The following is a 16,270-nucleotide window of genomic DNA, read 5'->3' as shown; positions in this document are numbered from 1 at the left end:
AGAAGAAGACAGGAAAATGTGGGGAAGTTTGGAATTCCCTAGAGACTTGTTAAATGGCATTGACCAAAATGCTGATAATGATATGAACAATGAAATCCAGGCTGAGGCGGTCTCAGATGGAGATGAGGAACTTGTTGGGAAGTGGAGCAAAAGTAACTCTTGTTATGTTTTAGCAAAGAGACTGGCAGCATTTTGCCCCTGCCCTAGAGATTTGTGGAACTTTGAAGTTGAGAGAGATGATTTAGGGTATCTGGTGGAAGAAATTTCTAGGCAGCAAAGCATTAAAGATATGACTTGGGTGCTGTTAAAAACATTGTTTTAAAAGGGAAACAGCATAAAAGTTTGGAAAATATGCAGCCTGACATTGTGATAGAAAAGAAAATCCCATTTTCTGAGGAGAAATTCAAGGCAGCTGCAGAAATTTGCATAAGTAATGAGGAATTACTTAATTCCCAAGACAATGGGGAAAATGTCTCTAAGCATGTCAGAGGTCTTCATGGCAGCCCCTCCAATCACAGGCCTGGAGGCCTAGAAGGAAGAAATTGCTTTGTGGGCTGGGCCCAGGGTCTCTTTGCTATGTGCAGTCTGGGGACTTGGTGCCTTGTGTTCCAGCCACTCTAGCTGTGACTAAAAGGGGCCAAGGTGCAGCTCAGTCTGTTGCTTCAGAGGGTGGAAGCCCCAAGCCTTGGCAGCTTCCACATGGTGTTGAGTCTACAGGTGCACAGAAGTCAAGAATTGAGGTTTGAGAACCTCTGCCTAGATTTCAGAGGTTGTATGGAAATGCCTGGATGCCCAGGCAGAAGTTTGCTACAGGGGCGGGGTCCTCATGGAGAACCTCTGCTAGTGCAGTATGAAAGGGAAATGTGAGGTCAGAGCCCCCACACAGAGTCCCTACTGGGGCACTGCCTAGTGGAGCTGTGAGAAGTGGGCAACCATCCTCCAGATCCCAGAATGGTAGATCCACTGACAGCTTGCACAAGGTGCCTGGAAAAGCCACAGACACTCAATGCCAGGCCATGAAAGCACCCAGGAGGGGGGCTATATCCTGCAAAGCCACAGGGGCAGAGCTGCCCAAGACTATGGGAAACCACCTCTTGCATCAGCATGACCTGGATATGAGACATGGAATCAAAGGAGATCATTTTGGAGCTTTAAAATTTGACTACCCCACTGGATTTTGGACTTGTATGGGGCCTGTAGCCCCTTTGTTTTGGTTAATTTCTCCCATTTGGAATGGCCATATTTACCCAATACCTGTATCCCCATTGTCTCTAGGAAGTAACTAAATTGCTTTTGATTTTACAGTCTCATAGGCAGAAGGGACTTTCCTTGTCTCCAATGAGACTTTGGACTGTGGACTTTTGAGTTAATGCAGAAATGAGTTAAGACTTTGGGGGACTGTAGGAAAGGCATGATTGGTTTTAAAATGTGAGGAAATAAGATTTGGGACGGGCCAGAGGCAGAATGATATGGTTTGACTGTGTCCCCACCCAAATCTCATCTTGAATTCCCACGTATTGTGGGAGGGACCTGGTGGGAGATAGTTGAATCATGGGGGCAGGTCTTTCTTGTGCTGTTCTTGTGATAGTCAATAAGTCTCAGGAGAGCAGATGGTTTTAAAAATGGGAGTTTTCCTACACAAGCTGTCTTCTCTTGTCTGCCACCATGTGAGACATGACTTTCACCTTCCATTATGATTGTGAGGCCTCCCTAGCCATGCAGAACTGTAAGTCCAATAAGCCTCCTTCTTTTGTAAATTGCCCAGCCTCGGGTATGTCTTTATCAGCAGTGTGAAAACAGAATAATACAGACTGTAAATTAGCTCAGCCATAGTGGAAAGCAGTGTGGCAATTTCTCAAAGAACTTAAAACAGAATTAACCATTCAACCCAGCAGTCCCATGATTGGGTGTATACCCAAAGGAATATAAGCCATTCGACTATAAAGACACATACATGCATATACTCATCAGAGCACTACTCACAATAGCAAAGACATGGAATCAACCTAAATGCCCATCAATGGTAGACAGGATAAATAAAATGTGGTATATATATACTATGCAACCATAAAAAAAGAACAAGATTATGTCCTTTGCAGCAACATGAATGGAGTTTGAGGCCATTATCATAAGCAAACTAACTCAGGAACAGAAAACCAAGTACTGCATGTTCTTGCTTATAAATGGGAGCAAACATCAACAACACATGAACACAAGTGTACTTGAGGGTGGAAGGTGGAGGAGGGAGAGGAACTGAAAACCACCTATTGGATAGTGAGATTATTACCTAGGTGATGAAATAATCTGTATAACAAAGCCCTGTGACATGCAATTTACCTATATAGCAAACAAGCACATGTACCCCTGAACCTAAAATAAAAGTTTTATAAAAAGTTATACACAAAAAGCAGAACTTTATTGGAAACCCTCAAGGCAGTGACATAGTGTTGGGTATTCTCATTTAGGGTGATGGGGTCTTGAGTAAATATCTTAGAGTTACTGGTATTATCAGAATGTGGGTATTTGTGCACTACTCTAATAATTGCCAGTAGAAGAGGGTTTGGTTTTCTCTGAGGCCTAGTGTTATAAAGAATTTACCAACTCCAGACAACTTGATATACTAAGTTGCTCATTTTTGGGGATACTTGTATTTGGTACTTCCATTTGAGATATTCATCTAGGATGGAAAATGTTTTTAGTCCTTCAGTAAAGAATGGCTTTGCTAACACATGGTCAGCTTATCTAATATGTGGCATGTCATTTTTCTTCCAAGTCTAGCATAATTCACAGATTTAATGTCACCTCTTATTGGACGTAGACATGGAGAATTACTCCTTCTATGTTTCTGTTATAGGACTTATCATATATACACGTGATATATCTGTCTCTCCTTCCCACCTTCTCAAAACCAGATATTATGTCTTCTTCATCCATGTATTCCCAACACTACACAGTACTAAGGATTTAACAAATATTCTTTTTCTTCCTTTCCCTTTTTTCCTCAAATCATGAGCAATATGAACTTATCATTCTGATAAATAATTATTTTGAAATGTAGAAGTAGGCCGGGTGCGGTGGCTCACGCCTGTAATTCCAGCACTTTGGGAGGCTGAGGTGGGCAGATCACGAGGTCAGGAGTTGGAGACCAGCCTGGCCAATGTGGTGAAACCCCGTCTCTACTAGAAATACAAAAATTAGCCGGGCGTGGTGGTGGGCGCCTGTAACCCCAGCTACTTGGGAGGCTGAGGCAGGAGAATAATTTGAACCTGGGCGGTGGAAGTTGCAGTGAGCTGAGATAATGTCATTGCACTCCAGCCTGGGCAACAGGGCGAGATTCCATCTAAAAAAAAAAAAAAAAAAAGAAATGTAGAAGTGTAGAGATGTTGCCTAAACAGGCCAGTTGATAACAGCTCAGAAAACTCAGGTTTGACCGTAGAAACGAATGGTGTCTCTAACACTGGCTTTTAGTGAACTGTTTCTCTTCTCCAGATGCAGAACCTTCAAAGGAGTGTGGAAAGTGTCTGGAAGGAAAGGTGTGCACCTTGGAGCTTTCCTTGGAGTGTATCTTTGAGCTGTTTGCGTTTGGGTGGTGAGTCTTTGGAAGGTAAGACTTCTGACCTCCAAAGGGGTGGATCTCCAGAGAGTAGCCTGACTTCCTGAAGGGCATCCTGGAGAAGCAAGGGTGAGGGAGGCAGAAACCTGAGTTCATCTTGATCCTCTAGGAGCTTGACCTTGGAGCACAGGGCAGAGTAGGGCTGAGTATTTGAATGGAAGAAGAAGTGCACCTTGAGTCTGGCACTGAGATTCTAAGCATGGGACACTGTTATCTGCACTTAGCACTGAAGAATGAAATCCACCTGCCTCAGCAAACCACATAGGGTGAACAAGATCTCAAATTACATAGAAGGTAACAATACATCCTGGTTTTCTGAAACAGTCCTGGCATAATTATTAACAGCATTCCTTTCTATTATCACAAGTGTCTCAATTTGTACAATAAATTACTTGACCACGTTGTGTAGGATCAGTTTTCAACAGTGACATTATGTGTTCTCACAAAGCAATGGCAGTGGACCAAGGAGTCCCAGGTTGGCTCCTGGCTGGTGTGAATGCTAGAATGACCCCTCCCTGCCCTTGGACTTGAGAGCTATAAAGGCTCCTGACAATTTAGGAGCGAGGAATAACTTCAAGAAGGAGTTCAAATATATCCAGTTTTTTTAATTTAATACATGGTATTTTATTCGATTTTATGCAACTTTCTGAAAAGATATACTTCACTGCAGTGAATAGTGCCTGTATGTGACAAGAATTTCTGTTTTCATCTAATACTAAGCTAATAGGTAGAATTTTTTACCTTAAATTAAGAAGGTTACAGCCTCTGGTAACCATTCTTCTACTCTCTATGCTTCCTCCTTAGCATGTAACTGACCCTATAAAAGTAATCTCAGTTTGGATTTTCCATTTAATCCAGAAGTTAATTAAAAGGATCTTTTATAAAATTTGCCTGTGGCTAGATATTACTGGTTGGTTACACATTTTCATAATTTCTATAGTCATTGCACAATGCCTAGAAAATATGACCTGCTTGATATCAGCTTTCTTAAAATTGAGACACTTTTAGACCTAAAACCTTACCATTTAAAATAATTTTCTCTTGTACTGGAAAATAATGTAGAGTATATCCTATTAGTAAGGCATGTGAATGTTTCAGCAATTAATTGGAAAAATAAGAGGTGTGATATATATGCTACTTTGAGTTGGTGAAGCAATTTATACCAGTCATATTCTACTTATTTTAGAATTGTTGCTTACTTTAGCCCTAGTGACCTGATTATTTACATGGTTCTTAAACTGAGCTCTTTGTAGAAGCTTTCACCGTCTTAATCTACTATCTTTAGAAGTTATAATTTTTGCTTATAGGAAGACACAGAGTTTAGCAATGAAGTAGACCTCTGCTTTTGCGTGTCCAGCATCCCTTTTCTCTTCCATAGGCACTGAGCCCCTTTTAGTGGGAGAAATGCATTTCATATAGTTTAGGTCATTCCCTTACTTTGTTCTTCTTCTTTGACTGCTCTTAATCCTTAGTAAGGGGCTGAACATATGACATAAGCTTGACCAATCAGAGTACTCCATCCCTCTGGCCACATTGACTGTGGGACAGGGTAGGCAATTGACCTCAGATAGGCCAGTTTATGACCTTTTCTGGACTTTACTGCTGAACCTGTTGGAAAAGACTTTTATTCTGCAAAGGTTGCCAATCTGGTAGTACGAGATCTGGATTGTTGGCAGCCATCTTGCCACTAAAAGGAGGAGGCCCATCTGAAGAGAGAAGAAAAAGAAATGATGTCCCAAGACATTGTTTTGAGGTTTCTTGCTGTAGCCTTGCCTAAAGCCCCAAGTCTATTCACGCACTGAAAAAAATTTTGTGGGTACATAGTAGGTGTGTATATTTATGGGGTATATGAGATGTTTTGAAACAGGCATGCGATGAGTAATCATCACATCATGTAAAATGATGTACCCATCTCCTCAAGCATTTATCCATTGTATTTACAAACCAATTATACTTAGTTATTCAAAAATGTATAATTAAATTGTTATCGATGATAGTCACCCTGTTTTGCTATCAAATACTAGGTCTTACTTAAAAAAAAAAACCACTAAGCATTCTCACCTCCCTGCCATCATCCTTCACAACCTCTGGTAACCATTATTCTACTCTCTATCTTCATGAGTTCAACTGTATTGATTTTTAGGTTTCACAAATAAATGAGAACATGTGATGTGTGTCTTTCTGTGCATGGGTAATTTCATTTAGCATAATGGCCTCCAGTTCCAATGCAAATGATGGAATCTCATTTTCTTTTTATGGCTGAATAGCACTCTATTGTGTAGATGTACCATATTTTCTTTATTCATTCATCTGTTGATGGGCACTTAGGTTGATTCCAAATTTTGGCTATTGTGAACAGTGCTGCAATGAACATGAAAGTGTAGATAGCTCTTCAATGTACTGATTTCCTTTGTTTTGAGTATATACCCAGCAGTGGGATTGCTGGATCATATGGTAGCTCTATTTTTAGTTTTTTGAGGAACCTCCAAACTGTTCTCCATAGTGGTTGTACTAACTTACATTCCCACTAACAATGTATGAGTGTTCCCTTTTCTCTATATCTTTGCCAGTATTTGTTATTGCCTTTTTGGATAAAGCCATTTTAACTGGGGTGAGATGATATCTCATTGTAGTTTTGATTTGCATTTCTCTGATGATCAATGATGTCAAGTACCTTTCACATGCCTGTTTGCCATTTGTATGTATTCTTTTGAGAAATGTCTGTTCAAATCTTTTGCCCATTCTAAATCAGATTATTAGACTTATTTCCTATAAAGTTGTTTGAGCTCCTTATATACCCTGGTTATTAATCCCTTGTCCGAAGAGTAGTTTGCAAATATTTTCCCCTATTCTGTGAAGTGTCTCTTCACTTTGTTGATTGTTTCATTTGCTGTGCAGAAGCTTTATAGCTTGATGAGAACCCATTTGTCCACTTTTGTCTTGGTTGCCTGTGCTTGTATTACTTAAGAAATTTTTGCTCAGACCAATGTACTGGAGAGTTTCTCTGATGTTTTCTTGTGCTAGTTTCATAGGCTGAGGTCTTAGATTTAAGACTTCAATCCATTTTGATTTGATTTTTGTATATGGTGAGAGACAGGGATTTCGTTTCATTTTTCTGCATATGGATATCCAGTTTTCTCAGCACCGTTTATTGAAGAGACTGTCTTTCGGCCGTGTTTGTTCTTGGCACTTTTGTCAACAATGAGTTCACTTTAGGTGTGCATATTTGTTTCTGGGTTCTCTATTATGTTCCATTGGTATATGTGTCTGTTTTTATGCCAGTACCGTGCTGCTTTGGTCACTATAGCTCTGTAGTATAATTTGAAGTCAAGTAATGTGATTCCTCCTGTTTTATTCTTTTTCCTTAGGATAGTTTTGGCTATTCTGGGTCTTCAGTGGCTCCCTATAAATTTTAGAATAGTTTTTTTAAATTTATGTGAAGAATGTCGTTGGTATTTTGATAAAAATTGCACTAAATCTGTAGATTGCTTTGGGTAGTATGGATATTTTAACAATATTAATTCTTCCAATCCATGAACTTGGAATAACTTTCCATTTTTTGGTGTCCTCTTCAATTTCTTTCATCAGTGTTTTACATTTTTCATTATAAAGTTCTTTCACTTCTTTGGTTAATTCCTAGATATTTAATTTTATTTGTGGCTATGATAAGTGGAATTATTTTTATTTTTTTTCAGATTGTTCACTGTTGGCATATAGAAACACTACTGATTTTCACAAAGTGGGGACAGGTCATCATGGTGGATGGGAGGCAGGACTAGATTGCAACTCCAACTCAGACAGGGAGAGAAGCATGCAGAGGCTCGCATTGTGAATTTTAGCTCCAGATCAACTTCAAGAAAAAAAAACAGCAATTCTGAGAGGACCTACAGATCCTCTGAAGGAAGTGGACTACTCCTGCAGGACCCGGAAGACACCCCAAATACTGTGTTGGTATCCATGGCTGAAAGACCCATAGACAGTTCATATGACAGGACTCTGTGCAGACAACCCCTGGTACCAGCCTGGCACCTGGTAGATTTGCTGGGTGGCTAAACCCAGAAGAGAGGCAACAATCACTGCAGTTCTGCTCACAGGAATCCACATTCTTAGGAAAAGGGAGAGAGTATTACATCAAGGGAACACCCCATGGGACAAAAGAATCTGTACAACAGCCTTGAGTCCTAGACCTTCCCTCTAACAGGGCCTACCCAAATGAGAAGGAACCAGAAAACCAACTCTGGTAATACGACAAAACAAGGCTCTTTAACACCCCCCAAAATCACACTAGTTCAACAGCAGTTGATTCAAACCAAGAAAAAAAATCTCTGATTTACCTGAAAAAGAATTCAGGAGGTTAATTATTAAGTTAATCAGGGAGGCACCAGAGAAAGGCAAAGCCCAATGCAAGGAAATCCAAAAAATGAAACAAGAAGTGAAGGGAGAAATATTCAAGGAAGAGGTAGCTATTCTTATATCAGACAAAACAAACTTTAAAGCAACAGCAGTTAAAAAAGAGAAAGAGGGACATTGTATAATGGCGAAAGGCCTTGTCCAACAGGAAAATATCACAATCCTAAACATATATGCACCTAACATTGGAGCTCCATAATTTATAAAACAATTACTAATAGACTTAAGAAATGAGATAGACAGCAACATGATAATAGTGGGGGACTTCAATACTCCACTGACAGCAGTAGATCGGTCATCACACAGAAAGTGAACAAAGAAACGATGGATTTAAACTATATCTTGGAACAAATGGACTTAACAGATACATACAGAACATTTTATCCAACAACTGCACAATACACATTCTATTCAACAGCACATGGAACTTTCTCCAAGATATACCATATGATAGGCCATAAAACAAGTCTCAATAAATTTAAGAAAATTGAAATTATATCAAGCACTCTCTCAGACCACAGTGGAATAAAACTGGAAATCAACACCAAAAGGAACCTTCAAAACCATGCAAATACACGGACATAATATAACCTGCTCCTGAATGAGCATTGGGTCAAAAATGAAATGAAGATGGAAATTAAAAAATTCTTCTAACTGAAGGACAATAATGACACAACCTGTCAAAACATCTGAGATACAGCAAAGGTGGTGCTAAGAGGAAAGTTTATAGCCCTGAACACCTACATCAAAAAGACTGAAAGAGCACAAGCTGACATTCGAAGGTCACACCTCAAGGAACTACAGAAACAAGAACAAACCACACCAAACCCAGCAGAAGAAAGGAAATAACAAAGATCAGAGCAGAACTAAATGTAATTGAAACAAACAACAACAACAAAAGAAATACAAAAGATAAATGAAACAAAAAGCTGGTTCTTTGAAAAGAGAGATAAAATTGATAGCTCATTAGCAATATAAATAAAGAAAACAAGAGAGAAAATCCAAATAATCTCATTAAGAAATGAAACAGGAGATATTACAACTGACACCACAGAAATACAAAAGATTATTCAAGGTTATTATGAACACCTTTACACATATAAACGATAAAATCTAGAAGAGACCGATAAATTCCTGGAAAGATACAACCCTCCTAGCTTAAACTGGGAAGAATTAGATACACTGAACAGACCAATAACAAGCAGTGAGATAGAAATGGCAATTTGAAAATTACCAACACACAAAAAAGTCCAGGACCAGATGGATTCACAGAAGAATTCTACAAGACATTCAAAGAAGAATTGGTACCAACCATTTTGACACTATTCCACAAGATAAAGAGGGAACCCCCATCCCCCAATTCATTCTGTGAAGCCAGCATCACCCTAATACCAAAACCAGGAAAGGACACAACCAAAAAAGAAAACTACAGATTGATATCCTTGATGAAGATAGATACTAAAATCCTTAACAAAATACTAGCTAACTGAATCCAACAACATATCAAAAAGATAATCCATCATGATCAAGTGGGTTTCATACCAGGGATGCAGAGATGGTTTAATATACACAAGTCAATAAAGGTTATATGCCACATAAACAGAATTAAAACCAAAATCACATGATCATCTCAATAGATGAAGAAAAAGCGTTTGACAAAATACAGCATCGCTTTATGATTAAAACCCTCAGCAAAATTGGCATACAAGGGAGATACCTCAATGTAATAAAAGCCATCTATGACAAATCACCAGCCAATATAATGCTGAATGGGGAAAAGTTGAAAGCATTCCCTCTGAGAACTGGAATAAGAGAAGGATGCCCACTCTCACTACTCCTCTTCAACATAGTACTGTAAGTCTTAGCCAGAGCAATCAGACAAGAGAAAAAAATAAAGGGCACCCAAATAGGTAAAGAGGAAGTCAAACTGTCACTGTTTGCTGATGATATGATTGTTTACCTTGAAAACCCTAAAGACTCCTCCAGAAGGCTCCTAGAACTGATAGAAGAATTCAGCAAAGTTTCCGGATACAAGATTAATGTACACAAATCAGTAGCTCTTCTATATACCAACAGTGAGTGACCAAGTGGAGAATGAAATCAAGAATTCAACCCCTTTTACAGTAGCTCAAAAATAAAATAAAATATTCAAGAATTTACCTAAACAAGGAGGTGAAAGACCTCTACAAGAAAAACTGAAAAACACTGCTGAAAGAAATCATAGATGACAAACAAATGGAAACACATCCCATGCTCACGGATGGGTAGAATCAATATTGTGAAAATGACATACTGCCAAAAGCAATCTACAAATTGAATGCAATCCCCATCAAAATACCATCATTCTTCACAGAAATAGAAAAAAAATCTAAAATTGATATAAAACAAAAAAGGAGCCCGCATAGCCAAAGCAAGACTAAGCAAAAAGAACAAATCTGGAGGCATGACACTACCTGACTTCAAACAAATCTATAAGGCCATAGTCACCAAAACAGCATGGTACTGGTATAAAAATAGGCACATAGACCAATGGAACAGAATAGAGAACTCAGAAATAAACCCAAATACTTATAGCCAACTGATATTCGACAAAGCAAACAAAAACGTAATATGGGGAAAGGACACCTTTTTCAACAAATAGTGCTGGGATAATTGGATAGCCACATGTAGGAGAATGAAACTGGATCCTCATCTCTTGCCTTATACAAAAATCAACTCGAGATGGATTAAGGACTTAAATCTAAGACCTGAAACTATAAAAATTCTAGAAGAAAACATTGGAAAACCCCTTTTAGGCATTGGCTTAGGCAAGGATTTCCTGACCAAGAACCCAAAAGCAAATGCAATAAAAACAAAGATAAATAGTTGGGACTTAATTAAACTAAAGAGCTTTTGTATGGCAAAAGGAATAGTCAGCAGAGTAAACAGACAGTCCACAGAGTGGCAGAAAATCTTCGCAATCTACACATCTGACAAGGGACTATTCAGAATCTATATTCAGAATCTAGAACAAACTCAAACAAGTCAGCAAGAAAAACCAAACAATCCCATTAAAAATTAGCCTAAGGGCATGAATAGACAATTCTCAAAAGAAGATATACAAATGACCAACAAACATATGAAAAAATGCTCAGTATCACTAATGATCAAGGAAATGCAAATCAAAACCACAATGTGATACCACCTTCCTCTTGCAAGAATGGCCATAATCAAAAAATCAAAAACCAGTAGATGTTGACGTGGATGTGGTGAAGAGGGAACACTTCTACACTGCTGGTTGGAATGTAAACTAGTACAAACACTATGGAAAACAGTGTGGAGATTCTTTAAACAACTAAAAGTAGAACTACCATTTGATCCAGCAATTCCACTACTGGATATCTACCAGGAGGAGAAGTCATCATACAAAAAAGATATTTGCACACTCATGTTTATAGCAGCACAATTTGCAATTGCAAAATCATGGAACCAACCCAAATGCCCATCAATCAACTAATGGATAAAAAAATTGTGGTATATTTATATGATGGAATACTACTCAGCCATAAAAAGAAATGAAATAATGGCATTTGCAGCAACCTGGATGAGATTGGAGGCCATTATTCTAAGTGAAGTAACTCAGGAATGGAAAACCAAACATCATATGTTATTACTGATATGTGGGAGCTAAGCTATGAGGACGCAAAGGCATAAGAATGATACAATGGACTTTGGGGACTTGTGGGGAAGAGTGGTAGGGGGTGAGGGACAAAAATGTAGGGAAAAAAATATTTTAAAAAAGACTGCAAATGTAGTGCAGTGTATACTGCTGGGGTGATGGGTGCACCAGAATCTCACAAATCACCACTAAAGAACTTACTCATGTGACCAAATACCAACTGTACCCCAATAACTTATAAAAAAAGTTACTGATTTTTGTATGTTGATTTTGTATCCTGCAACTTTACTGAATTTGTTCATCAGTTCTAAATAGTTTTTTTTGGTGGATTCTTTAATTTTTTTCCCAAATATAATATCATCTGAAAACAAGCAGAATTTGACTTCTTTCTTTCCAATTTGGATGTTCTTTCTTTATTTCTCTTTTCTGATTGCTCTAGCTAGGATGTCCAGTACTATACTGAATAACAGTCATGAAAGTGGACATGTTCCAGATATTAGAGGAAAGGCTTTCAGTTTTTCCTTATTCAGTATGATACTAGCTGTGGGTCTGTCATATATGGCTTTTATTACGTTGAGCTATGTTCTTTCTATCTCCAGTTCTTTGAGGGCTTTTATCATGAAGCATTGTTGAATTATATCAATTGCTTTTTCAGCATCAATTGAAATGAACATAGGGTTTTTTCCTTCATTCTGTTGATATAATGAATCACATTGATTGATTTGTGTATGTCGAACTATCCCTGCATCCCAGGTCATGATATATGATCTTTTTAATGTATTGTTGAATTTGGTTTGCTAGTATTTTGTGGAGGATTTTGCACCAATATTCATCAGATATTTTGGCCTGTAGTTTTCTTTTTTGACGTGTCTTTGTCTGGTTTTGGTGTCAGGGTAATATTGACCTTACAGAATGAGTTTGGAAGTATTCCCTCCTCTCCTGTGTTTTGGAATAGTTTGAATAGGATTGGTATTAGTTCATCTTTATTTATTTTTTAATTATACTTTAAATTCTGGGGTACATGTGCAGAATGTGCAGGTTTATTACATACGTATACACGTGCCATGGTGGTTTGCTGCACCCATCAACCCATAATCTACATTAGGTATTTCTCCTAATGCTATCCCTCCCCTAACCCCCCACCCCCTGACAGGCCCCAGTGTGTGATGTTCCCCTCTGTGTCCATGTGTTCTCTTGTTCAACTCCCACTTATGAGTGAGAACATATGGTGTTTGGTGTTCTGTTCCTGTGTTAGTTTGCTGAGAATGATGGTTTCCAGCTTCATCCATGGCCCTGCAAAGTACATGAACTCATCCTTTTTTATGGCTGCATAGTAGTCCATGGTGTATATGTGCCACATTTTCTTTATCCAGTGTATCATTGATGAGCATTTGGGTTGGTTCCAAGTCTTTGCTATTGTGAACAGTGCCACAGTAAACATACGTGTGCATGTGTCTTTTTAGTAGAATGATTTATAGTCCATTGGGTATATACCCAGTAATGGAATTGCTGGGTAAAATGGTATTTCTAGTTCTAGATCCTTGAGGAAATGCCACATGATCTCCCACAATGGTTGAAATAATTTACACTCCCACCAACAGTGTAAAAGCGTTCCTATTTCTCCACATTCTCCCCAGCATCTGTTGTTTCCTGACTTTTTAATGATCGCCATTCTAACTGGTGTGAGATGGTATCTCATTGTGGTTTTGATGTGAGATGGTATCTCATTGTGGTTTTGATTTGCATTTCTCTAATGACCAGTGATGATTAGCTTTTTTTCATGTTTGTTGGCTGCATAAATGTCTTCTTTTGGAAAGTGTCTGTCCATATCCTTTGCCCACTATTTGGTGGAGTTGTTTGTTTGTTTTTCTTGTAAATTGTTTAAGTTCTTTGTAGATTCTGGATATTAGCCCTTTGTCAGATAGATAGATTGCAAAAATTTTCTCCCATTCTGTAGGTTGCCTGTTCACTCTGATGATAGTTTCTTTTGCTGTGCAGTAGCTCTTTAGTTTAAATATATCCCATTTACCTATTTTGGTTTTTGTTGCCTTTGCTTTTGGTGTTTTAGTCATGAAGTATTTGCTCATGCCTATGTCCTAAATGGTATTGCCTAGGTTTTCTTCTAGGGTTTTTATGGTTTTAGGTCTTACGTTTAAGTCTTTAATCCATCTTGAGTTAATTTTTGTATAAGGTGTAAGGAAGGGATCCAGTTTCAGCTTTCTACATATGGCTAGCCAGTTTTCCCAACACCATTTATTAAATAGGGAATCCTTTCCCCATTGCTTGTTTTTGTCAGGTTTGTCAAAGATCAATTGTTGTAGATGTGTGGCATTATTTCTGAGGCCTCTGTTCTGTTCCATTAGTCTATATATCTGTTTTGGTACCAGTACCATGCTGTTTTGGTTACTGTAGCCTTGTAGTATAGTTTGAAGTCAGGTAGTACAATGCCTCCAGCTTTGTTCTTTTTGCTTAGGATTGTCTTGGCTATATGGGCTCTTTTTTGGTTCCATATGAAATTTAAAGTAGTTTTTTCTGATTCTTTGAATAAAGTCAGTGGTAGCTTGATAGGGATAGCACTGAATCTGTAAATTACTTTGGGAAGTATGGCCATTTTCACGACATTGATTATTCCTATCCATGAGCATGGAATGTTTTTCCATTTGTTTGTATCCTCTCTTATTTCCTTGAGGAGTGGTTTGTAGTTCTCCTTGAAGAGTTCCTTCACATCCCTTGTAAGTTGTATTCCTAGGTATATTAATTCTCTTTGTAGCAATTGTGAATGGGAGTTCACTCATGATTTGGCTCTCTTTGTCTATTATTGGTGTACAGGAATGCTTGTGATTTTTGCACATTGATTTTGTATCCTGAGACTTTGCTGAAGTTGCTTATCAGCTTAAGGAGATTTGGGGCTGAGACAATGGGGTTTTCTAAATATACAATCATGTCATGTGCAAACACAGACAATTTGACTTCCTCTTTTTGGAATTGAATACCTTTTATTTCTTTCTCTTGCTTGATTGCCCTGGCCAGAACTTCCAATACTATGTTGAATAGGAGTGGTGAGAGAGGGCAGCCTTGTCTTGTGCCGGTATTCAAAGGGAATGCCTCCAGTTTTTGCCCATTCAGTATGATATTGGCTGTGGGTTTGTCATAAATAGCTCTCATTATTTTGAGAAATGTTCCATCAATACCTAGTTTATTGAGAGTTTTTAGCATGAAGGGCTGTTGAATTTTGTCGAAAACCTTTTCTGCATCTGTTGAGATAATCATATGGTTTTTGTCATTGGTTCTGTTTATGTGATGGATTAAGTTTATTGATTGGCATCCGTTGAACCAGCCTTGCATCCCAGGGATGAAGCCAACTTGATCGTAGTGGACAAGCTTTTTGATATGCTGCTGGATTTGGTTTGCCAGTATTTTATTGTGGATTTTCAAATCGATGTTCATTAGGGATACTGGCCTGAAATTTTCTTATTTTGTTGTGTCTTTGCTAGGTTTTGGTATCAGGATAATGCTGGCTTCATAAAATGAGTTAGGGAGGATTCCCTCTTTTTCTATTGTTTGGAATAGTTTCAGAAGGAATGGTGCCAGCTACTCTTTGTACCTCTGGTAGAATTTGGCTGGGAATCCATCTGGTCCTGGACTTTTTTGGTTGGTATGCTATTAATTGCTGTCTCAATTTCAGAACTTGTTATTGGTTTATTCAGGGATTCAACTTCATCCTGGTTTAGTCTTGGGAGGGTGTATGTATCCAGGAACTTATCCATTTCTTCTAGATTTTCTAGTTTATTTGCATAGAGGTGTTTATAGTATTCTTTGATGTAGTTTATATTTCTGTGGGATCAGTGGTGATATCCCCTTTATGATTTTTATTGCGTCTATTTGATTCTCTGTTTTCTTCTTTATTAGTCTGGCTAGTGGTCTATCTATTTTGTTGATCGTTTCAAAAAACCACCTCCTGGATTCACTGATTTTTTGAAGGGTTTTTTGTGTCTCTATCTCCTTCAGTTCTGTTCTGTTCTTAGTTATTTCTTGCCTTCTGCTAGCTTTTGAATTTGTTTGTTCTTGCTTCTCTAGTTCTTTTAATTGTGATGTTAGGGTGTTGATTTTAGATCTTTCCTCCTTTCTCTTGTGGGCATTTAGTGCTGTAAATTTCCCTCTACACATTGCTTTAAATGTGTCCCTGAGATTCTGGTAGATTGCGTCTTTGTTCTCATTGGTTTCAAAGAACTTGTTTATTTCTACCTTCATTTCGTTATTTACCCAGTAGTCATTCAGGAGCAGGTTGTTTAGTTTCCGTGTAGTTGTGTGGCTTTGAGTGACTTTCTTAATCCTGAGTTCTAATTTGATTGCACTGTGGTCTGAGAGGCTGTTTGTTATGATTTCCATTCTTTTGCATATGCTGAGGAGTGTTTTACTTCCAATTATGTGGTCAATTTTGGAATAAGTGCAGTGTGGTGCTGAGAAGAATGTATATTCTGTTGATTTGGGGTGGAGACTTCTGTAGATGTCTATTAGATCTGCTTGGTCCAGAGCTGAGTTCAAGTCCTGGATATTCTTGTTAATTTTCTGCCTTGTTGATCCATCTA

The 16,270-nt window shown here is 38.2% G+C and overlaps 1 protein-coding gene across 6 annotated transcripts in view; it reads right to left on the bottom strand.

The window, feature by feature from the left end:
* TMCO5A (transmembrane and coiled-coil domains 5A) overlaps positions 1–16,270 on the bottom strand; it is a 106,226-nt gene that overhangs the window by 68,922 nt on the left and 21,034 nt on the right. Inside the window, exon 12 of one of the 6 annotated variants that reach the window (NM_001370737.1) lies at positions 3,267–3,340. The exons of 4 other annotated variants lie outside the window; for them this stretch is intronic. In NM_001370737.1, coding sequence (NP_001357666.1) covers positions 3,267–3,340 — 74 coding nt within the window. Of the gene's footprint in view, positions 1–3,266; positions 3,341–4,197; positions 5,320–16,270 lie in introns of those variants that run through there. One more of the 6 variants, NM_001330255.2, reaches the window with a different exon arrangement.

This window comes from Homo sapiens, chromosome 15 (genome assembly GCF_000001405.40).
Source record: "Homo sapiens chromosome 15, GRCh38.p14 Primary Assembly".
Classification (NCBI taxonomy): Eukaryota; Metazoa; Chordata; class Mammalia; order Primates; family Hominidae; genus Homo; species Homo sapiens.
This window is presented reverse-complemented; position numbering and strand designations above follow the sequence as displayed.